This window comes from Homo sapiens, chromosome 7 (assembly GCF_000001405.40).
Source record: "Homo sapiens chromosome 7, GRCh38.p14 Primary Assembly".
Taxonomy (NCBI): domain Eukaryota; kingdom Metazoa; phylum Chordata; class Mammalia; order Primates; family Hominidae; genus Homo; species Homo sapiens.
This window is the reverse complement of record NC_000007.14, coordinates 16,390,410-16,414,734: the sequence shown is the minus strand read 5'-3', so window position 1 is coordinate 16,414,734 and position 24,325 is coordinate 16,390,410. Positions and strand designations below refer to the sequence as shown.

Below are 24,325 nucleotides of genomic sequence, written 5' to 3'. Positions count from 1 at the left end.
TTGAACCCCAGGTTATAAACTAAAGGGAATCTTAGTTTTCGCCTTTTACTAACAAGAAACTGAGATTAGGGGTACTAATCACTTAGATAACTATCGCTTTGTGACCTGAGTTTCTATAAGGAAATGTTGCTCCAAGAAATCAGATGACAATGGTGTTATTGGCAGGGGCATAAAGCTGACAATTAAACCATAACATTCACTCACAATTTATCAATTGATGTATCTAGATTTTACTGTTTTAAAAAATGTATTCCCTGGATCTGTTGTAGGAGGCAAAAATTCCTGCCAGTAATCTAATTTCTGGTTTAAATATACAAGGAAAGTGTCATGGGGTGTGTGTGTGTGTGTGTGTGTGTGTGTGTGTGTGTGTGTGTGTGTGTGTGTTGGGGTAGGGGGGTGGTCAACCTGGAATAGCTGAAAAATAGACTAAGATGACAACTACAGCAAAAGGGATTAAGAAAGGCAAACTTCGGCCATGCTTATTCAGACTTGGTGATGAGTTGGGTAGGGGTTGGGAATTCCTGACAGTGGATTTGAACAAGGTCTGGCAGGGCTTTCCTCATAGTTCATGAGGTTTTTGAGCTCTCTTAGGTGGAGGACAATGCTTAAGATAACTTTCCTTTAGATGGTTTCATGCTTGTCAAAGTTTGTTATAACTCGGCCTCCCCTATAAATCTTCTACAGGAAAATGTGCTGTTCCACTGATTAAAAAGTATTCTAGACCTTATGATAGTTGTGTGTATCATTGTATGTTAATCTATTGGCACTGATTCATGTTTCAGAATATTTTCAGTTTGGCTAGAGTGAATTAGTCTCCTTGAGTCAGACAACTCCAGGTAAATTTGGGGAGAAAAATCACTTTTGTAGATCTGTATGTGTTTATATTATGGAAACTAAATCTTCAGATTGAGATTGGGCTTGGAAATCAATGAAAGTCTATATTTCATTATTGTTTAAGACTCCATAGTCTGTGTTTCAGTATATTAACTTTGTTTTTTAAAAAAACTTTTGTCCATTTATTCGATTTGTTTTCTTGTGTACTTTTACATATGCTGTCCTAGATTTTGGAAAACCACAGCAAATTCTGTTGAACAAGATACACAAGTAAAGATATAAATGTTAGTCCAGATGAACAAGGTTGATCACTTGAATTAGGCTGAGATAACAGGAATGGAGTAGAGAAGACAGGAGAAATATTTAGTAGCTAGTGTTGATAGCTCTTAGTGATTAACTGTATTAGAGATTCAGAATGAGAAAGGAAAGCTTTTAGTTGTGTGGTTAGATGAATTTGACTTAAAATTTTGTCTCAAGGCTTCCTTAATAAAAGGGTCAAGTCTGAGTCATGGGACTTGTATTTTGTACAGGTCAGATGATTAGAGGTCAGTGTTACATTTCCAAAGGACCGCATGGAACACCTTCAAAATAAGTGGTAAGTCTAAGGCAGGTAGGCTGAGGCCTGACAACCGGGAGCCTTCATGGGCCATAGTAGGAAGGCTTCACATTGCAAAGGTAATCCAAGATTCAGCCCCATCATGCCAGTTCAATATTTTGCTGCTAAAACGTCAGGGTCAGTATGGAGAAATAGAAATCTATGAATTATGTCCATAGTACAATCCAGAGGCCAAGTTTCCGTGAAGGCTGCCATGGAAATGAGCAGCAGCTGCCACTGTCCCCTTGCAGCCAAACTCTGCAGACTAGATGAGAGGGCTTTCAGAGGTGTTAACAGGGCCTGATCTTTCCCATCTGTTTCATAAAGCATTTGTTAAAATGTTCTGTTCCCAATAGATCTGTTAAAACTGTCTGGGCCGAGTATTCCTGTAAGCAATATTTGTTATTCCAGGAGAAAATAACTTTTGAGTTATTATATTTCTTCCTCAATGTCTGTAGGTGTAATAGAGCTTAAGGCTAGGTTCCTATTTGCCTATGGAATGTGCTAGAAAGGAAATATTCAGGAGAACTTGACAGAATTAGGCTGCTGAGGGTTTGGTGTGGACTTGTCCTCAGTTAAGAGGTAAGCTAGATCTCTTTATTCAGCAAATATTTGATCGGTAGACACTGTGTGAGGTACTTAAGGTCTTTTTAAGTCCCATGATTTTACATTATTAAATTTTAATACTATAAAAGACTTTTAGTTCTATAACTAGAAAAGAATGTGAATAAATCCTTAGAAATACAAACAGTACTTATAAAGACTTGCAAGTACTGGGTGTATGCTTGGTTGCTGACCAAAATAGCTTTATAAGCCTATTGTCTCTGAAGAGCGTTCTAAAATAGTGTTTTCCAAACTTTTTTTTGACCTGTTACAAGAATTACGTTTTTGCCTCATGGCTCAGTGACAAATGCATATTTACTTATATACTCACGCACATTTGAAAGAAAATTCATGCAAACAACCTATCTCTGTGCTACGCATTTTAATTTTTCTGTTCTATTTCCATTTCATTTACCCAACAAAGTTGCTTTAAAACTTACTATAAACTGATTTTATGACACTCTAATGGGACCCGAAATTGGCAGTTTGAGAAATACTGGTTTAAAATGCCATTTTCTGTTTAGAGTCTCATACAATTGTTTGAAATAGTGTAAGGCCATAAGTGTCTGTTTGTAATTATTTACATCTACTCTGGCTGTTTTCTGTCTGATGGAATGGAGAATTTGAGTTATTTTAAGGCAATCTAGTAAAATTGGGAGTTAATTCATTGAATAGATACTTGAATGACTACTTTATGTCAAATGTTATCCTATCTGCCTCTTAATTCTTCATCATATTTTAACATTTAAGTCAATGTAAATTTTCTTTAAAAAGTAGCAAACTGATTTCCTTAAAAGTTTAACCATTTTTTTCTGGTAGAATATACTATGAAAAGTGACAGGTGAATAGTTTAGAGGACAAGTTGTAATCTTTCCTTTAAAAATACTACTTATTTAGTTGAACACATACTTATAACTCCTATATTAAAAAGTGAACATGTCACACTAATAAACAGCTGAAGTATATATGAAATACTTTTAGTAGCTTTCTATAAATCTAAGAGCAGTTTTTATGCCTAATTATTCAAGCATTCTCCTCTCTGTTTATTTAACAGATACTTACTGACATGTGGTTGAGAAGTTAGGAATTCTGTCAGTCTTTGTTCATTACTGACTCATCAGTATCTAGTATAGTGCCTGACAAATGCTTGATACATACTTGATGTTTGTTAAATGACTAAAGGAACACATGAAAGAATGCCTACTTCTGCCTGAGTTACAAGAAATTATAAGAAACTTGAGCGCTTTTGACTATAAAAGCAGGAATATTACGTGTTTCAACCTTAATATAAATGAAGTGCTGTAGATGCAATGATCCAAAATGATTTTTTCTCTCCTGGATTTTTCACCTTCCTCTCAGAGACAGTATTGGTGCATTATTTACAGAGGCTAAAGTTATAGGCCCCAGAGTCAGACTGGAGATCACAGCTTGGTCCCTTAGTTTCTGAGCTGTGTGATTATGGGCAGGTTACTGCCTGTGTCCTCATGTGTAAAGCTGAGATGATGATAATGTGCTTTATAGAGCTGATATGGATATTGAGATATTGCAGGCGAAATATTCTACACATTGATTGCCTGGTACCTAGCAAACATTCCATATATCTTAGGTGTTATTTCTACTATGTTACTGAAAGTTGAGTATGTGCTAAGTTCTGGGACATAGTTTTTGCTTTCTATGAGTTGGCAGCCTAGTGAGGAAGATAAAGTTATAAACAGTGCAGTATAGTCCTTAGGACTCTACGTGTATAAGCACTCTGCAAGCTGAGAAGCAGGGATGTTGTATGCAGAATGGCAGTCAGGGAAAGCTTCCTGGAGGGAGCCATCTCTGAAGTCAGAACTGATGAGTATGAAAGACTCGGGCAGGGCTGGCGGGGAGTAGGGGCAGTTAGGGAGGAGAGAGGGATGGGGACAGTGTTGAGAGGCCAGGTAAGCAGCACATGCAAATACCTGAGTATGAGAGATGCCTTCCCTTCAGGGAGTAGTTGGGTATGAGAGTAAGAGGGCATGGAAGAGACCAAGTGATGTGCATGAAGTAGGCTGAGGTCAGGTCTTGAAGGGTCTTGCTCGAGAGCCAGCAGGGGATGACCTCAGATTTGTGCTTGAGAAAGATCATCCAGAAGTGGTGAGAATGGATTGTATTGGGTTAAGAAGAGTAAGAGGAAACAGCTGAGGGGCTAGTGCAGTAAATTATGGTAGAGATGACCGTTTGGGTCACAGCCGTGGCAGTAGAGCCAGAATCTTGGGAAATCCCACATTTAAGAGGGATTGAAGAACTGTCACTCACCACTTGCTAATAACTTTAATTTGAAACTGTGAGTGCAGTCTAAGTTCTGCAGTTGCTAAATTTGCAATGAAAGGCCTAGGAAATGGGCTACAAAACAAAGAACAACCCACGTTTAGTCTTATTCCAGAATCACTTTCATTGCCTGTACAGTTTACTACAGATTGTTCTTTGGAGTTCTGAAGTGAATTATTTTTGATTGTGATAAACATCCTCCCAAGGTGTGTGAAATATGAAAGTAATCCCAGCTCTCAAGGAGCCTTAGGACCTAGAAACCAGAGCAGAGGGTCAAATACCTAGAAACAAAACTATCAACAAAATCACACTGCATAGGGAATGCTGTTTTCATTCTTAGATTTATTTATATATTTGTAGCTAGTCAGGGTAATGAGAGCCTCCTTTGTTTTCACAGTCCTTGAGACTATGCTGTGTTGTAAGATGTTATACTGCCCCCAGTAGATGAGACTGACTAGTCATTTTTTCAACAAATAATGTACTGAGCACCCACTAAGAGTTAGGTGTAAGGCAATGGACAAAACAGACATTGTCTCTATATGGAGCCTACATTCTAGAAGAGGAAATAAAATGAAATGTTGTATTATCTTGAAAAATGGTAAAAATTTCTTATTGCTTCATTTTTAGAATAAGATGGTAGTATAGAAAAAAGTAATGTAATGTCTTTGTATATTCGGATCTTTTTGTCTCTTGTATGAGAGATCGTGTAGAAGTATTGTAAAGATTGCAAGAGCTAAAATATAAAAAATGCTTAAGACATAGTGCTTAATTTATATTGGCTATTATTATGTGATACTTGTATTATTTTGCCACTTTTTCTTCCTGACTCATGTAGATGATTACTTCTAGAATAGACTATCTCTAAAACGCCATATACAAGCTCCACCTGGTACCCAGGCGACCATCATTGCATTGCCCAGATTACAGCAGCCACCTCCTACCTGGTCTCTCTGCATCCTTTCTCTCTTTGCTGAATCCTTTCTCCTCCCTGCAGCCAGAGTAAAATTTATGCTCTTGTGATTCCTATTGCTGCTATAAAAATTACCACAAACTGAATGGCTTAAAACCACATTCTCTTACAATTTTGGAGGTCAGAAGTCTCAATTTAGTTTCACTGAGCTGTGTCAAGGTGTTGGCAAAACTGCATTCCTTCTGGAAGATTTGGGGGAGTATCCATTTCCTCGCCTTTCTCTAAATTCTAGAGGCTGGCCATGCATGGGGTTCACTTCTATAATTCCAGCACTTTGGGAGGTTGAGGTGGGTGGATCACCTGAGGTCAGGAGTTAGAGACCAGCCTGGCCAGTATGGCGAAACCTCATCTCTACTAAAAATACAAAAATTAGCTATGTGTGGTGGCAGGTGCCTGTAATCCCAGCTACTTGGGAGGCTGAGGCAGGAGAATTGCTTGAACTTGGGAGTCAGAGGTTGCAGTGAGCCAAGATTGTGCCACTGCACTCCAGCCTGGGTGACAGAGTGAGACTCTGTCTCAAAAAATAAAATTGTAGAGGCCACTCATGCTCTTTGGCTTGAGGCCCTGCATCAGTCTGACATCTGCTTCTGTCATCACATCTTCTCCAGTGACTCTCCTGCGACCTCCTTTCCTTTATAAGGACTCTTGTGATTACGTTGGATCCACCTAGATAATTCAGGACCATCTCCATATTTCAAAATCCTTAATCACCTCTGCAAAGTCCTGTTTGCCATTTAAGGTAACATAGTCACAGGTTTCATGAGTAAGAAAGTGCACATCTTTCTGGGTTCATTATTATGTTTACCAAAAACTCCTATTAGAATGTGATGAGTGAGTATTGGTTTTTGCCCTGACTGCACTCACCTGCTTAAAGCTTTTCTATGGCTGCCTATCCTCTTTTTAGGATTAAAGTTTAAAACCCCTAGGATACTGCCCACCTCCTGCCTGGGCCTCCAAGGCTCTGCATGGGGCCTTCTCCTTGCTCGGGGAACTCCAGCTCCGCTTCCTCCCAGCCCATGAGGACCTTGCCATGGCCTTTACTTGGACCAGTCCTCTCTCCTTCTCTCCTAGCCTGTTTGCCTGCTTACCTGCCACCCATCCCTTGTGTCTCAGTGCAAACTCCCTTTTCTTGGAGAATGCCCCCAAAGTCTCCTCCAGACTGTTTAGCTACTCAGCCTACATGCTGTCTTGAACGTGGACTTCTTCATTGTGTTTAATCACAGCTTGCAATTGTTGATCGGTGTTTTTGTTTCATGTCTGTAAGTTCTGAGCGCTTATTTCTGTTGTATCCTCGATGCTGATAAGTTATTTTTTTATTTTTTTTTTTTTAAAGACAGAGTCCTGCTCTGTCGCCCAGGCTAGAGTACAGTGGCATGATCTTGGCTCATTTCAACTTCTGCCTCCTGGGTTCAAGTGATTCTCTTGCCTCAGCCTCTCGAGTAGCTGGGATTACAGTTGCGTGCCACTACACCTGGTTGATTTTTTATATTTTTGGTAGAGACGGAGTTTCACTATGTTGGCCAGGCTGGTCTCGAACTCCTGATCTCAAGTGATCCACCTGCCTCAGCCTCCCAAAGTGCTGGGATTACAGGCATGAGCCACCATGCCCGGCCGATGCTGATAATGTCTCAGTGCTCAATAAATATTAAAGAAATGGGCTTAAAATGAAAAGGCAGTATCACCTATAAAGTAGCTCTTGGTTTTGTTCATCAGTGTAGTCTTCTTTTAGCTACAGGCAGAATGGGGTTTTTGGTTGTGGAAAGGGTCTGTTCGATAACAAGAGGTAGGAGACATTACTGGGTGAGGCAACCCAATGTTAACTTCATTTTTCAGTAAAGGTAATCTTTATGCAGTAATTTTCAGGCCCTTCCATATCTTTAAAAATATTCTAAAGACTTAACTGTTTTAGCATGAAAGTATAGGATCTCATAGGCTAAGAATTAAAAATTAAGTCTTTGTTCAGAATTCGTATCATGGGTCAGAGACCGTTGTCTTGGTTTGGGCTTTTGGGCTGTGGTATATTGACTCTACAGTGATGCTTGCCTCCATTAGCAGTGGTGTTCCAGACAAGTCTGCCAGACTCTAATGCAGCAGCAACTCACTAATGTGGACTACTTGCAGTCTAGTATGTCAGTAGGTCCCTCAAGAAAATGTTTTACAGGCTGGGCTTGGTGGCTCATGCCTATAATCCCAACACTTTGGGAGGCTGAGGTGGGTGGGTCACCTGAGGTCAGGAGTTGAAGACTAGCCTGGGCAACATCATGAAACCCTATCTCTACTAAAAAAATACAAACACTAGCTGGGCATGGTGGCGGGTGTCTGTAATCCCAGCTACTTGGAAGGCTGAGGCACGAGAATCGTTTGAACCCAGGAGGCAGAGGTTGCAGTGAACTGAGATGGTGCCACTGTATTCCAGCATGGGGCACAGAGTGAGACTCTGTCTTGAAAATGTTTTACAAGAGAAACATTGCTTTATGCTTTGTATATGACTCAATAGAACAATCCTATTTCATGAATTGTAAGCTTTTCCACTTTACTTAAACCTTATTGCTACAATATTAATTATAACGGTTTCTCCCATTTAAGGTACGTATTTAGCAAGGCTTGTGTTAGCTAAGTTTTCCAGCTTTGTTGGTATTCAAGTGGTTGGCTGCCAACTTGGTGGAATTCTTGAAAGAGACAGTCAACTTTTAGATCTCAAAAGTGCTTTCAATTGTCTCATTGAAGGGAAAAGTATTTGGAAAAATTTAAAAGCATATCCCAACTATAGACTATTTTTTCATACAATCTATATTCTAATTATTCAAATTTAAGTAAAAAATGACATCTGGTAGTACTATATACTATGTACATTTACTATATCATGTAAGATATTCTATGTAATATGAAACACTATCTAGAGCTATAGTGTTAAATGCTCACTGATTCTTTTTCATCAGCCTCTTTACTGGACCTAACGAGAATGCATAAAACTGTTTTATTAACTTGCAGTTTTTAATCTCCCTATTTAAATATACCAATACTAGTGATTCAATTTTCTGTTACTCACTTTAGTTGTCTAAGAATTAATTTACGAATTGTACATATACTTTCCTTTTAGAGTATGTTGGATAAAGGACATTGTTGTGGCAGTAACTGGAGAGAACATGGAAGTAATGAAAAGTATTATTCAGAAGTATCAGCATAAACGCATCTCACTGGTCGAAGCTGGAGTGACCCGCCACAGGTCAATTTTCAATGGACTAAAAGCACTGGCAGAAGATCAGATCAACTCTAAACTCTCTAAGCCAGAAGTAGTGATTATCCATGATGCTGTGAGACCATTTGTTGAGGAAGGTGTCCTTCTTAAAGTTGTCACAGCTGCTAAGGAACACGGGGTAAGTCTTTTTTCTTGAGTCTAGATAGAAGGGACAAGCACTGTAGTGTGGTTCATTTGCTGAATTTTGATTCAATTCTGTTTAAATGTCAAATTATTTAAAATGTGCATGATGACCTAAAGATGTTATGGTGATTTGTTGTAGTAACTTTATAGATTGAGACTGTTCTGGAACATATCTTTTGCTATAGTCATCTACCATAATGTGATATGAGGTATTTGGAGAAGAATGTATTAATGTTATTACAGTATAGATATAAATGAAACTTTAATGAAAATTAAAAGGCAGTTATATTAAAAATGCCAGAGAAATCTCTCAGAAGTAAAGGATATGTATAATATGGTCCATTGTACTCAATTTTGTGTTAGTTTCGAAGTGGTTTGTTTTCTAGTATATACTATATAAGATTTTCATAGACCTTAAAGTAAATCATCTTGAGATGACAATTGTTTCCATTTGCTTCACCAAAATAAACACAGGATAGCAAAAGACCTATTGTAATCTTTGGAGCATGTTTATTTTTTTCCTTCTATTACCAAGTAAAATTATATAAATATGGTAATAGATACTAAACTTTTTTGCAGTCTAAATTGGAGACTTAGTGAAATTTATTGCCAAGCGATGGTATTATATAATAGAAATAGGCTATGAAGTTGGACAGACCTAGGTCCAAATCTGTCTTTTTATTTACTAGTGATGTCGTGTTTTTAACTTTCTGAGTCCATTTTCCCTACCTGTGAAAATATAAAAAATAATACTTGTAAGGTCATTTTAGGATTGGAAATTATGTTAGCTATTAGAATACTAAGTGCTTAAAGGGTATTAATAATAAGTGCTTAAAGGGTATTATTTTAAGATGAATTATAACATCTATGTAATAGTTTCCTCTAAGATTATAGGCCAACAGGAAGCAAGCCTTCCTAGCCATCTGGGTGCCCAGAAGCTTTTTTTTTTTTCCCCTTTAAAACCTATTTAGGAAAGACAGTCTATAACTTCAATAACCCATGTGTATTTGAATTGCCGTAGGAAATTTTCCCTAACTTCATCTCTTCCTTCTGCAACATGAATTTCACTTTAAATTTAAAACTGTGTAAGAATTTCATAGACCAAATGAAATATTTTGATTTGCCTTTAAACAAAAGGATAAATGGTATTTAAGGTAGTGAAACTTGTGGTCCAGGAACCATTAATGACCACAAAACTTTCCCCTGGATCTTGTGCTTCCCCCTTGACTCCTTCCTCTTCTCCAGACAGCTCAATTGTGGTAGAGGCAAGGTAATCAGTTGCAAGGGTGGTGAGAAGGCATAAAGAAGCAGAGGATTTACAACTTAAGAATTTGAGTAAATTTTGCACATTTGGAAGAGTTCTTAGGGATGACAATACAATTTGGTAGATGGGCATTCATTGCAACGCATATTATACACAATTTTTTTTTTTTTTTTGCCTGTGTTACCTTTTGGAAAATTCACTTAAGCTCACTATAACAATTGCACACATTTGCAATTTTTTTTGTTGTTGTTGAGTAATAAGCAGAAAGTATTTCTGAGATATTGTCCATAAAGTGAGTCTTCTGAGAGTATGTTGTAAAAGGCAAAAGAAGTCTTTTATCTTGCTCCAATTAATATGCTAAGTATATCATTGTCTTACATGTGATTTAATAGAACATATTAAAATACATAGCAGTTACTTTTTGCAGATTTGAGGGAGTTCCTATTAGATTGTTTCTTAGAATATAATTTGTAAGATTTAATCACATAATGCATCTTAAATGAAACAAAGTATATTTCAGTGAAATCTGTAATTTTCTGATTAGATTAAGAAGCTGGTTCAGAACAAAACTTTACAACTTGTTTAAGGAAACCTCAGAAATACAGTTTCTTTTAGAAATATTGCCTTGTTTTTGTTGGTGTTAAAACATAAAGGGTAAAATCATGAGTTTTATATACATCCATGTTTAAGAATTTTTTCAAGTTTATTAATGAGAGAACCAGACAGATGTTACAACTGGTTCAAAGTTGAATCCAGAAAAGCACTTATTTATACAAAGTAAAAAGGTATGTTGAAGTGAATTAAAACAGAAAACTGGCTTTTTTATGGTGGAGTCAGTTGAAACTCCAATAGACAAAATTCATTTGCATGTTTATAGGCAAGAATTGTTTTGCATTGCTATTGGTTATCTACAACTTTGAAAGCTGTAAAAGAGCAGCTCAAGGCTAGATTCAGCTAATCTGGAAGAGTCTGCTCTTAGTCATGTAGTTGTCCATTGCAGACATCCTGTAACCTTTTTGGTTTGTTTTAGATTTTCTTAAAACAATTAGGATAGTGTCCCAGTATTCTCAGTTAACTCCAGGCACTATGTCCTGCCAGTTCTCTCACTGTACTGACTTACTATCATAAAAACATAAATGCAGTCACACACCGTTCAGACTGTTTTCCAGGCCTGCTTTTAACTCATTGCCTTTTGTTGTCTTAGATAGTTTTCTACAGACTCCTTAACTGATTATTTTTTCTTCCTAGGTATTAATTTTCAGGTTCTACCTAAAGGTCCCCTTCACACACATTTTCTGAACAAGCTACACTGTGATTATCTTTAGGGGGAGGGGTGGGTTATGTATGCTAACAATAACTCTATTTTAACTGACTTTCCATTTTGCTTAATTAAAAAAACTTAAACTGGTAAAGAGAATGCCTCAAGAGACTCAGATATCCACGATTAAGGCTGGCATTAAGGTTGTAGAGCTCAAAAGCATCACAAGGACCCAGTTTTTCTTTTTGCCTGTATTACATTGTCAGGCCCTACAGGGAGGCAAGATGGCTTCCATAAGTTCGGGAGCAAAATTCCATCAGGGTTATTTCTGTCTTACTTTAATGATGATAGTTTTTCTGGGTATAAAATTCTAAGTCTACAACTGTTTTTTTCCCCCCCTCACTATTTTGAAATTAGGTTATGTCACTGTCTCCTGGCTTTAATATTGCTTTTGGGAAGTCTAACCAACCTAATTGTAATCCTTTGAAAGTAATTTGCCTTTTCTCTCTGAATGCTTAGATAATTTATTTTTCCTATGTGTTGTTTAGTCTCTGTGATGTGTCTGTATAGACTTTTTCCCTTGCTTTGGATTTATTGTCCTTTATGAACATTGATTCATATTTTTATTCTAGAAAAATCTGAATAATTATCTAATTTGAATATTGATTCTGCCCATTTCTGGTCCTGACAACTCTTTTCCCCTTACCTTATGTATACTGTATATATGATACACTCTTATCCAGTCCTCATGTGTCCTAAGTTCTCTTTCATATTGCTGTTTTTGTATGCTGCATCCTAGGTAACTTGTTTCCAATTTCTCATTTTTTTTTTTTTAGCTCTGTCTAATATCCTGTTTAAGGACTTTTAAAACAAACATTTAAAAATTATTTGGAGTCCCATTTTGTCCCTTATCATGTACGATTAATCTCCTTTCTGTTTTTTATCTTCTATTGCCTTTTAAGCTCTGAACATAATACTTTATACACTATAGCCAATAGTACTTCTTGGTCGTTTAATTCACTAACTCTTCATTTCTGTTTACTTTTGTTCATAATTTGTTTCCTCCTTTGTTTTATAATTTGGATTGTAAGCCCATGTTTGGCAAGACTTTATCATCAGGATTTCTGTAAACATGGGATAAGGGTGTGTTTCTGAGGCAAGGATTTTTGTTCCTTCTGCCAGAAATCCCAGGGGCTTTACTAACTTGGAACAACTTTACATTAATTCTTGGCTTGAAGTTTTATAGATTCTGTGGTAATGTTAAATGAAACTCCAAACTCACATGAAACCAAGCTTACTGTTGTAACTTCTCAGGGAAAACTGTCCCTGCCCTTCAAGATCCCAAGCCAAGATAATTTTGCTTGCTGTTTTCCTTCACTTGTGAGTGTCTCTCCTCCCCTGCCCCAGCTACCTTTTAAATGAGGGACTTTCCCTTTTATGGGTCTTAGTGTGGAAATTACAGTTCTAATCAAGTAGCACACGCTCAAGGTCTTAGTCCTCATTCTTCCTCATCTGTTAAAACTAAAGCCTCTTGTTAACTGAAAGCATCTCTGCCATCTTATTTCTCTGATTGCTAACTATCAGGTTGTTTTACTCTTAGGTGATTGTTTGAGTCCAGACATACTCTTAAAAGGCTGTTTGTAAAATTCTCTCCTATATATATATTTTTTTAATGAAAGAGGTGTTTCAAGATACCCAGTCTACCATATTACCAAAATTAGAGGTCCGTAATCTTTTCTAAGTCAGAAGGACTTGTATATTTCTGCGTAATTAAGTCAGATAAAGAAGTGGCAATGAGGACTTTGTTATAAGGGAAATGTTGGAAAGAGTAAAGTAAGTTGGAATGTGGAGAAATCAAAGGTAAGTGAGAATAATTTTAAGAAGGACCAACACGTTAAATATTACATTGACTCTAAGAACACTAACAATAGGATGACTCAAATGAGACTGCATCAACAAAGCAACCTCCTAAGTATTGCTCCTGGTGGAAGAAGGCATTTTCTAAGTTACTGGTATATCCTTCTTACCTCAGCTTTGTACTCCAGCACCTCTAGTCATTTTATGCTCTTGTTGGTGATCAACTTCTTACACACTTCTCACCTTGCATACCCCTAATTTATGTTATAAATCATAGCAGTCTGGCTAATTTTTCCTCTGACCATTCTTTCCAAAATCACCTGTGACTACCTAATTCCCATATTAAAAGTGCATTTCAGTCTGTTGAATAATAAAGAATTTGCTCTTTATTCCAGGTTCCTGGGAGGAAGACTCTAAATCTTTGGGATTGCTGAAGTAACAGGAGAGTCTGTTATTTATGAGCTCCTTGGATTATACCTGAGCTTATGCTAATGAGAAAACATGATTTAGGAAGTGGGCTGGTCACCAGAAAGATGAAGTAATGTGATTAGAGGCTTTGAACCAGCTCAGCCTCTGGGGACAGGAAAGGGGCTGAAGATTGAGTTCAAGCAGGTGGCCAGTGATTGAATTAGTCATGCCTCTATCATGAAACCTCAAACTCTGGACCCTGGTCCAGGAGAGCTACCTGGTTATTGAACACAGGGCTGTGCTGGGAGGGTGGTGTACCCTGATTCCATGGAGACAAGGCATAAAAGCTTTAGGATTCCCCCAGACCTCACCCTGTGTCTCTTCATTTAGCAGTTGTATCCTTTGTAATTAAAACTGTAATTACAAAGGTATAACTTTTATAAATGTCACACACGTGTCAGGCATGTGTTGGGCATATGTTGGGCATGTGTCCACGTCTTCCATCACACATATTGGTCATGTGCCACGTCACAGGTGTTGGTCACGTGTCACAAACGTGTAACGTGTCATACACGAGTTGGTTATGTATCTCACAAGTTGGTTATGGACACGTGTCAGTCACGTGTCAAAAATGACTCGATCACATCATGTCGGTTGTGTTGATCACATGCCAATCGTGTCAATTGTGTGTCACAAATGTGTCAGTCAAGTGTCGATCGTGTCGACGTGTCAGTAGTGTCAATCATGTGCCAGTCGTGTCGTTCGGGTGTTATACATGTTGGTCATGGGTCAATCAGGTGTCGGTCATGTGTCACACAAGTGTTGATCACAAGTCGATCATATGTCAGTCACCTGTTAGTCATGTGCCAGGCCTGTCAACCAGGTCAGTGTGTCACAAACGTGTTGGTCATGTGTCAATCATGTCAATCACGTGTCTATCAGGTGTTGGTCAAGTGTCAATCATGTTCCGTGTCTCATTGGTCATGTCACACAGGTAATCACGTGACAATCACGTGTTGATCATGTGTAGATCTTGTGTCAGCCACGTGTTGGACACATGCCAACCATGTTTCAATCGTGTCAGTCACGTCACAAACGTGTCATCACGTCAATCATGTCAATCACGTGTCAACCATGTTGGTCACGTGTTGGTCATGTATCACACTCCAGTCACGTGACAGTCATGTCATACACGTTGCCGATCACGTGCCAATCACGTGTTGTGTATTCGTCACGTACTAATCATGTCATTCGCGAGTCAGTCACATGTCAAATGCGTCAGTCACGTGTCAATCGTGTCACATGTAAGCCATGTCAGTCACGTGTCACATATGGTCACATAACACGCCTGTCACACACGTGTTGATCACATAACGATCATGAGTCAATGTCACGTGTTAGTCATGTGTCAATCAGGTGTCTGTCATGTGCCACACGTGCTGATCACGTGACGATCAAGTGTCAGTCACGTGTTGGTCACGTGCCAAGCATGTCAGCCACTTGTCACTTGTGAGAAACGTGTCAGTTACATGTCAATCATATGTCAGTCATGTCAGTCATGTTGGTCACGTGTTGCTCACGTGTCACTGGTCATGCGTCGGCCACGTGTCACACGTTGATTACATGTCGATCATGTGTCGATCGGGTCAGTCACGTGTTGGACACATGCCAATCGTGTAAGTCGCTTGTCACATGTCACAAACGTGTCATGTCATTCATGTCAATCTCGTGTCAGTCACGTGTCAATCATGCTCTGGTCACGTTGGTCACGAGTCACATGTGTTGATCAAACGTCTTGTCAATCTCGTATCAGTCACATGTTGGACATGTGCCAATCTTGTCACTTGTCACATGTCACAAAGGTGTCACATGCCAATCACTTCAATCGTGTCACAAATGTGTCACGTCAATCATGTCAGTCATGTGTCAATCACACTCTGGTCACGTGTTGGTCACGTGTCACACGTGTTGATCACACGTCAATCGTATGTGTATCGTGTCAGTCACATGTTGGACCTGTGCGATTCAATCCTGTCAATCACGTGTCTAGTGTCACAAATGTGTTGGTCATGTCAGTCGTGTGAATCGTGTCATGTCACGTGTTCATGTGTCAATCATGCTTTGGTCACACATTGGTGAAATGTCACGTGCTGACCCAAAATGACGATCACGTCTATCATGTGTCAGTCACGTGTTGGTCATGCACCAATTGTGAATCGCTTGTCACCTGTCCTAAACGTGTTGGTCACATGTCAATTGTGTCAGTCAAGTGTCAATCACATTCCGGCCATGGGCTGGTCAGGTGTCACGTGTTGATTACGTGATGATCACGTGTCAGTAACGACTCGATCATGTGTCAGTCACTTGTTGGACATGTGCTGATCACGTGTGAGTCACGTGTTGGACACATGCCAGTTACGTAAATCGCGTCAGTCACGTGTCAAACGTATTGGTCACGTTTCAATCATGTTAATCACGTGTCAGTCAAGTGTCAGTCACGTATCACGTGTTTGTCACATGTCAGGCATTGGTTAAGTGTTGGTCACGTGTCACCCACGTGTTGATTAGATGCCAATCGTGTCAGTCACATGTCACGTGTCACAAAGCTGTCCATGTTTCAGTGATGTTTGTCACGTGTCAGTCATGTTGGTGATGTGTCAATCATGCTGTAGCAACGTCAGTCACGTGCCACACGTGTCGATCACTTGACGATCACGTGTCACTTATGTCGATCATTTGTCACATTTTGGACCTATGCCAATCACGTGCCAATGATATAGGTCATGTGCCAATCATGTCAATCGCACACGTGAGTCACGTGTCACAAACCTCGGTCACGTCAATCATGTGTGAATCACTTATGTTGGTCACGTGTCAGTCACATGTCAATCATGCCCTGGTCTTGCCTCTGTCACATGTCACACGTGTTGATAACGTATTGATCATGTGTTTATCACGTGAATTACCTGTCAGTCACGTGTTTGTCTTGTCAATCATGCACTGGTCACGTGTGAGTCACGTGTTGGTCACGTGTCAGTCACGTTATTACATGTAGATCATGTCTTGATCACGTGTCATGTTGGCAACAGGCCGATCATGTGTCAATTGTGTCATTCACATGTCATGTGTCAGTCAAGTGCGAATAATGTCAATCACCTGTCAGTCATGTCAATAATGTTATTGTTCACGTGTCAATCATGCCCTGGTCATTTCGATCAGCTGTGACACATGTTGATTACGTGTTGATCATGTGTCAATCACATCAGTCACATGTTGGTTAGGTGGTAAGGTCAATGGCATGTAAGTCACATGTCAAACGTGTCAATCACGTGTCAATCACCTGCCAGTTGTGTTGGTCACGTCAAACATGCTTTGGTCACACGTTGGTCACGTGTTACACACGTGTTGATCACGTGATGATTACGTGTTGATCCTTTGTGGATCACGTCAGTCACATGTTAAACACGTGCCAATCATGTCAGTGACGTGTTGGTCACGTGCCAATCACGTGCCAATCGTGTCATTCGCGTCAGTCACATGTCTCAAACGTTGGTCGCATGTCAATCATGTATCACGTGTCAGTCACGTGTTTGTCGGTGACGTCTTAGTCACATGTCAGTCATGTGTCACGTGTCACACACGTGTTGGTCACGTGTCACGTGTCACACGTCAGTAATCTGTCACGTCTCATATGTCAGTCAAATTGGTCACATCACATTTCGTCAATCACATGTTGTGTTGATCATGTCACATGTTCACATGTTATGTGTCAGTCATGTTTCTGTTATGTCAACTATGAGTCACATGTCACGTGTCACGTCTGTTACATCACACGTTACACGTGTCAGTCACGTGTCCATTACGTGTCAGTTGTCACATCTGTCATATGTCACACGTGTTACACACGTCAGTCACCTGTAACACATGTTGGTCATGTCACACGTGTCCATCACGTGTCAGTTACATGTCAGTGACTTGTCACAATTGTGTCACCCTCATGTTGTGTTGGTCATGTGTACATGTCAGTTACATGTTATGTTCGTATCACATACGTGTCAGTCGTGTCACACGTCCATCACGTTTTGATAATGTGTCGTGTCATTGGCATTTTGCTAATGTGTCAGACACGCATCTCTAACTTGTCAGTTGTGTGTCCACGTGTCTTATTTCACACGTGTGTCTTCCATGTCATGTGTTTTCTCCCACCTGTCCCATGTGTCACATGTGTTACACATTTGTTCTGGCACATGTTTCACACGTGTCAGTTCCATGTCAGTCATGTCACACATGTCACCAGTGTCACACGTGTCTTCCATCACATGTCACAGTTGTTTTTTCATTACACATGTCACATTTGTCTTTCACACATGTGTCACATTTTTGTCACATGTGCTTTCAGTCATGTGTCATCTTCCATTACGTGTCACATACGTATAGCGTATTCCATCACACATGCCACACATCTTTAGTTACACACATATCACGTCTTCCTTCACATGTATGTCACACGTTTTCTATCAGTCATGTCATACGAATGTATTCCATCACACATACATCACAATTTTCTCTATCTACTCATTGACTGGTGGGCATTTGGGCTGGTTCCATGTTTTTGCAGTTGCAAGTTGTGCTGCTACATATATGCATGTGTAAGTATCTTTTTCGTACAATGACTTCTTTTCCTCAGACTGGATACCCAGTAGTGGGATTGCTGGATCAAATGGTAGTTCTACTTTTAGATTTTTAAGGAATCTTGTCACCACACTGTTTTCTGTAGTGGTTGTACTATTATATATTCTCACCAGCAGTGTAGAAGTGTTCCGTTTTTAGCATATCCACACCAACATCTACTGTTTTTTTTAGGTTTTGGTTTTGACCATTCTTGCAGGAGTAAGGTGTTACCATATTGTGGTTTTGATTTGCATTTCTCTGATCAGTTGGCAGATTTTTGAACTCTGTATTTGGAAATGTGATATTAAGTAGGATTCACCATGGCTAATAATCACTTGTACTTGTCCATTGTAATCAATATACTTCAGGTCAGGCTTTATTCATGTGTGGGGGTAAGATAATAATTTTTCCTGGCTTCTGCATGGGGATAAGATAATGTTTTTTTCCTGGCTTATTGGATACCATAGTATTGTCTTCTAGAGAAACTTTGATACTTGTTTAAATCCTGGATCTAAAGAAATTTTACTTGTGAGAATGCAGTGAGTTCTGGTTCGTAAGGAAACCCAGGTTTATTTCGACAAAGGGTAAATTGCCTGGACCAAGGACTGACCTATTCTCTGAGGTGCTATGGGAATGAGGTGGAACTTGATCTATTTTTGATGTTGGGGAAGCTACTATGTGAAAAAGCTTTTGCTTTGCTTTAATTATTTCAAATTACCCACTTCTATGTTTCCGTTCTATGAATTACTTTCAAAGGAAGTTGGGAAAAGGGTAGGTGAAAGACAGATGACAGTATCTATGGTTTAACATGAAATAATGTTTAACATCCTAGTATATTCCCAATCATGTTATAATGAGGGTAAATGGTACTATTGAAATTTTAGGAATTTATAGGTAGAATGTAAAATGAAGGCCTCTCTATTCCTTTTTGCTGCATATCCACTTTTAGTGGTGTACTACAGTAATATGAATAAAGATTTTTCTAAGATATCTCTGTTTCTATATTGGACAAATTAGCTTAGTTCAATTTATTTGTCAGAAGGAGATTAGAAGTATTCTATGATTAAATATGTGAAATATTCAATCTTATAATTCCCAATGATTAGCTTTAGAGATGCCGTTCTGCAAACACTGATTAAGCCTTTCAATAAAGACAACTTGCCTAACTAAAATCATAATTATATGGTTGGAGGATTTCTGTTGTACATTGTTATAATTAGCTAGAATGCAGTTGCCTGAGGAGAAATGCATGTTAGTGCCTGCTGTATGGATGCATCATAGTATTATACAATAAAGCAAACAGTAGAGGTGGGGTTTATTATTCCACATTTTATGATTTGTATCAATGATTTCCATACAGTGACATGTGGAAATATGGTGATAGATTAGCTTGAGAGACAAGTAATCACTGAGGCTGGTGCTGAGCCCTTAAGCTTCCATTCAGGGCTTATTACTGGTACTTGAGGAGACATTTGTACTTGATAAGTCAGGAATGATGCCTCCTACAACAAGCTTCTCAGGGAGATGTGCCTTGCAGGCCACTAACCAACTTGTTTATACTTGTCATAATTTTGATACTTTGAATTTCAGAAAACATCACAAAATTGAGGTTTCATTGCATGTTTGTTTGTGAACAGAAGTCTCTTACATAAAGACAGCTGTGGAATATATGCCTTTTAACGTGAGCATTTTCTGTATCTGTTTATAGCAGATGGCAAGGCAAGGGATGGAGTCAGCCAAGAAGTTATTTTCACTTGTGATCTCTTTTCATGGGCCTTTAGTTTAAGATGCCTGAAGCTTTTTGTCACCTTTTGCTTTGATCTCTCTTCTTGTTGTACAACTTTCCCATCTGATATTCTGGCTTTCATAGACAAGAACCTAGTAATTTGTGGAATTTACCAATCCTGCCATAATTGTATCTGAAATATGGATGGTTTCTGCTCTTGAAGCTAGTTTTTGGTAATCAAGGTGGGAACCCATGAATACACATTCTGAATTTTAAAAAACTACTGAAGAACTTTGTATACCTCTGTGTCTACTACTGGTATAGTTAGAACATCACCAGTCACATTGAAACTATCTCCTCCCAAGTCTTATTTAATCCCCCCAATGAATAAACATTACCCAAACTTTGTTTTTCTTGTTGTCTCACTTTTCTCTTTAGTTGTATAACATCTTTTCCTGAAGAATGTTTTGGCTATGTTTATATGATTTTAAAACATGCTTTGCATATATTTTGACAGCATACTTACTTTGCACAGTGTATTTGGGGAAATGTATTCATATAAGTCTACTCAGCTATAGTTTGTTCGTAATCACTACTGTATATACCGTAATTCATTTTACAGGTGATGGACATTTGTTTTCTAATTTTTTGCTGATGTAAACATTACTAGTATGGATATTATTATATATCTTGTGCCCATGTGCAAGGATTTCTCTACAGTTCTGACATGTGTAGGTTATCAGCTTTACTAGATGATGCCAAATTATTTTCCAAACTTGTCTTGAATTATACTCATCAGTAACGTAAAAGAAGTTCAAGTTGCCCTAGTCCTCACCACTACTTGATATAGTTAGACTTTCCTCCAGTCTATTTACTGGAAAATGCTTTCTCTTTGTGGTTTAAATTTAGCATTTTGTTAATAGGTTGGGCATCTTTTTATATTTATAGGCTTTAAATATTCTTATTGAAACGCCTGTGTAAGAATTTACCCTATTTTTATTTTTAAGCTTTTGACTTGTAGGAGTTATATATTCTGGACACTAATACTTTGGCCAGTGCATGCTGTGTTTTATAACTATTTTCTTTCATCCGGAATGCTTAAAAAAATCACAATGTGTTGTGATAAATAAGCATTTTTTAATCTTAATATACTTAAAATCACTAATGTCTTCGTTTATGGTTTTTGTTTTTGCCTGGTTTAAAAATTTTTTTCTTACACTGAAGTCATGAAGATATTCACCATTTTTAAAAAATGTGTTATAATTTTGAATTTTACATGGATATCTCTTTCTGGAGTTTACAGATTGAGTAGGGGTTGATTTCACTTTCATCTTTTGCTACAAAGGTAAGTCTTTGCCTAGCACCATTTATTGAATAATTATCCCCTTTTCCACTGACCTGCACTGCCACTTCTGTCATATATTGAGTTTCTATGTGAGCATGGGTCTGTTGGGACTCTCTTCCACGCTGTTGGTCTGTTTTCGTACCCTGTCTTAGTCACTATTGAGACAGCTCTCTAATAACTTTTCATACTGCTAGATCAAGTCCCTTTCCCTGCTGTTCTTAAGTATACTTCATAAACCACTTCTGTTGTTTAATTTTCTTATATTAATATTGCTGTGTATATATGCATTCTAAACTATTAGGTAATTTTTAATGTTTCCTAAGAAGTAGTTTGTTCAATCACTTATCCATCCAGCAAGTATTTGAGAACCACTCCAGGAGGTTAGAGGCTCCCACCTTGCTCTGGAACTCAGGGCTCTCCACCCCCAATATTTTGCATTATTGTATCTTATAGTTGTTGGCTTCCTAATCTGTCATGTTCATGAGACTTTAAGATCCTTGACAAGATCTATCTTATTTGTTAAAATCCTTAAAACAAGATTGTTTCTTTATACATAGTACAAAAAAAGTGGTCAAGAAATGTTTAAAGAAGTACAAGAATACTTTTTAGAGAAAAGATAGAGTAATTAAGAGATTCTTACTTGGAGTATCCAGGTGGAAAGAGAATATTGTGAGCCTGTCTGCTTTTCACTGTTTGTTGGGTAGGGGAGGAGGCTGGGTGTATGAGAGGGTGTTCAAGTTTTTATTTAAACTACGTAATTCTTTAAAAGTCATAAAAATGAGTGAATATAGTATTGAGAAACTATTAGGAAGTTTTCATAATAGGAAGTGAGGTTAAAATATCAAAAGCAATTTATTAATGGCTTATATTCATCAAGTAACTGAGATGAGGGAAACGAGTTCACAGTGTATTTGTAGCACTTCAGCATTTAATAACTGGTCTCCGGAGGGAGTGCATCTACCCTCTCCCTCCCACCAAAACTGAACCCTTTCAGAGCAAGGATTGCATTTTGCGTATTCCTCATTATGCAAAGCATAATGCTTGGAATATGGTTGTCTAGGTCTTTCAGATAATATAAGTCTATCATATGAACTAGGTAGCTGTGTGAAAGCAGGACAAAAATATGAAGAATGTAAGACTACTGTTTGCCCATGCGCTCTACTGAGATGGATGTTTTCTGCATGGGTGATGATATAATATTCTGCCATTTTGTAAGGCTGACATTTCTATTTTGGTTTGGGAAACTGCCACCACATAACTCTTACTCTGTAGGGGTATGATGGCTATTGAGAGAACTTAGAGTGAATTGTTGGATTGGAAGCTTTGACATGTGGGGGCTTTCCTCATAAAATATTATAGTACTAAAGCTGAAGGGGCCTGAAATAAAATACCTGGTTAAAATTTTTCATTTAATAGAAAAGAATATTAATTAAGCAGAGATGAACTTGTTACAAATAACACAGCTATTAAGTGGCATGAATGAGACTTGCATTGTTGTTCATAGACTACAAATACAGGGTGCTTCTATCGAAGCAAGTTAGGTGTCTTACTGAGGGAGTGGGATTTGGTTTGACCTCATCTTGAAATTTCTTCAGATGCTGCTGCTGTATAAAATATCATGAAGACATATGTGTATTACCTAGTGACACTTTGACTTCTTTGTGTGGCCTAATCAGTATCTCTAAGACCTACAACACTGATTCACTAATGTAACCCTTATTTACTGAGTGCATGCTATGTGTTAGGCACTTTTCTAGGTGCTGGAGAGACAGCAGTCATGGAGTGAACATTCTAGGGCACTGCTGTCCAATAAAACATTCTGCAGTGATGGAAATAGGCTAACTCCACTGTCTAGTACCTAAGCTACTAGTCACATGTGGCTATTGAGTACTTAAAATGCTCCTAGTGGAAATGAGGAACTGAATTTTTTAGCGTTATTTAAGTTGAATTAAATGGAAGGAACTTGACTAGTTCTTTGAGATGGAAAGCTCTTGGAAGATTTTGAACAGAAGAGAGACATGATCTAACTCATCATGAACAGGTTTGTTCTATTGCTTTGTGAAGAATAGGCTGTGGAAGGACAAGAGTGAAAGAGATACCAATTGGGAGGCTACTGGACTAATCTCAGAGGGAGGATGGGTGGCTTGGACTTGGATAGCAGAGACAGTGAGAAGTGGGCAGATTTGGAATACTTTGAAGTTGACAGGGACTGGATTACTGATGGGCTGAATTATAAGAGTGGGGGAGAAATCAAGGACAGCATTCAAGATTTTGGGCAAGAATAACGAGAAGAATAGAGTTCATGTTTGTGTAGATGGCCGTCTGTAGGAACAGGTTTGGAGGCTGTGGAGTGGGTAATACCAAAACTTTGAGTTCAATTTGTTGCAGTAGAGGTATGCATTTTGAACTAAGTGGAAATGTTAAACAGGCATTTGGAAGTGCAAATCCAGAATTCAAGAGAATTCTGGGCTGGATATATAGGTTTGGAAGTTCTCATGTAGATGGTGTTTAAAGTCATGGGACTTCATGTGGTCATTAATAGAATGACTGTAGATTGTGTTAAATAAAATTTATAGGAGGCCATTGACTTCGACTAGGCTCCTGAACTAAGCCTAACAGACCAAACCAATATAGAGTTTAACTTCAGGAGCTGAGCATTAGTTAATTGCAGGAGGACCTGTAACCTTAAATTAAGCTGTTACTTATTAAGTCATCTCTACACAGCACTTCCATTTCCTATAAATGCTGTCAGATTATGTTATTGGAGTTCTCCAAAACTGCTCTGGTTTGGAGGGCCGTGTGATTCACAAGTCATTTTTGTTTTGCTGGTTTTGTTTGCTCAAGCTCGATTAAAATGCAAACTTGTCTAAGTTTTTTCCCATTTAACAATAGAGAAGTATGAGGATGCAGCTCTGGAATACTTTACCATTTACAGTCTGAGAAAGTAAGGACCTAGGAGTTAGTTTGGGAAGATGAGAGGGTGTGGTTGAGAATGATTTCTGAAAACTAAGTGAACAAACACTCAAGAAGACTAAGAACTATTAATTGGATTTGGCAACGTGGGGGTCATTGGTGACCTTGGTTAAATGTATTTTTGTGGTGGTGTGGCGATAATGG

General features: G+C 38.4%; 1 protein-coding gene across 4 annotated transcripts in view; it reads left to right on the top strand.

Annotated features, from left to right (window-relative positions):
* The window catches only part of CRPPA (CDP-L-ribitol pyrophosphorylase A), a 334,014-nt gene that overhangs the window by 6,804 nt on the left and 302,885 nt on the right, over positions 1-24,325 (top strand). For all 4 annotated transcript variants that reach the window (NR_160656.1, NM_001101417.4, NM_001368197.1 and 1 more), the window contains exon 2: positions 8,398-8,674. Coding sequence is in view for 3 of the 4 variants with exons in the window: in NM_001101417.4 (NP_001094887.1) it covers positions 8,398-8,674 (277 nt within the window). In the remaining variant the exon portion in view is untranslated. The remainder of the gene's footprint in view (positions 1-8,397; positions 8,675-24,325) is intronic.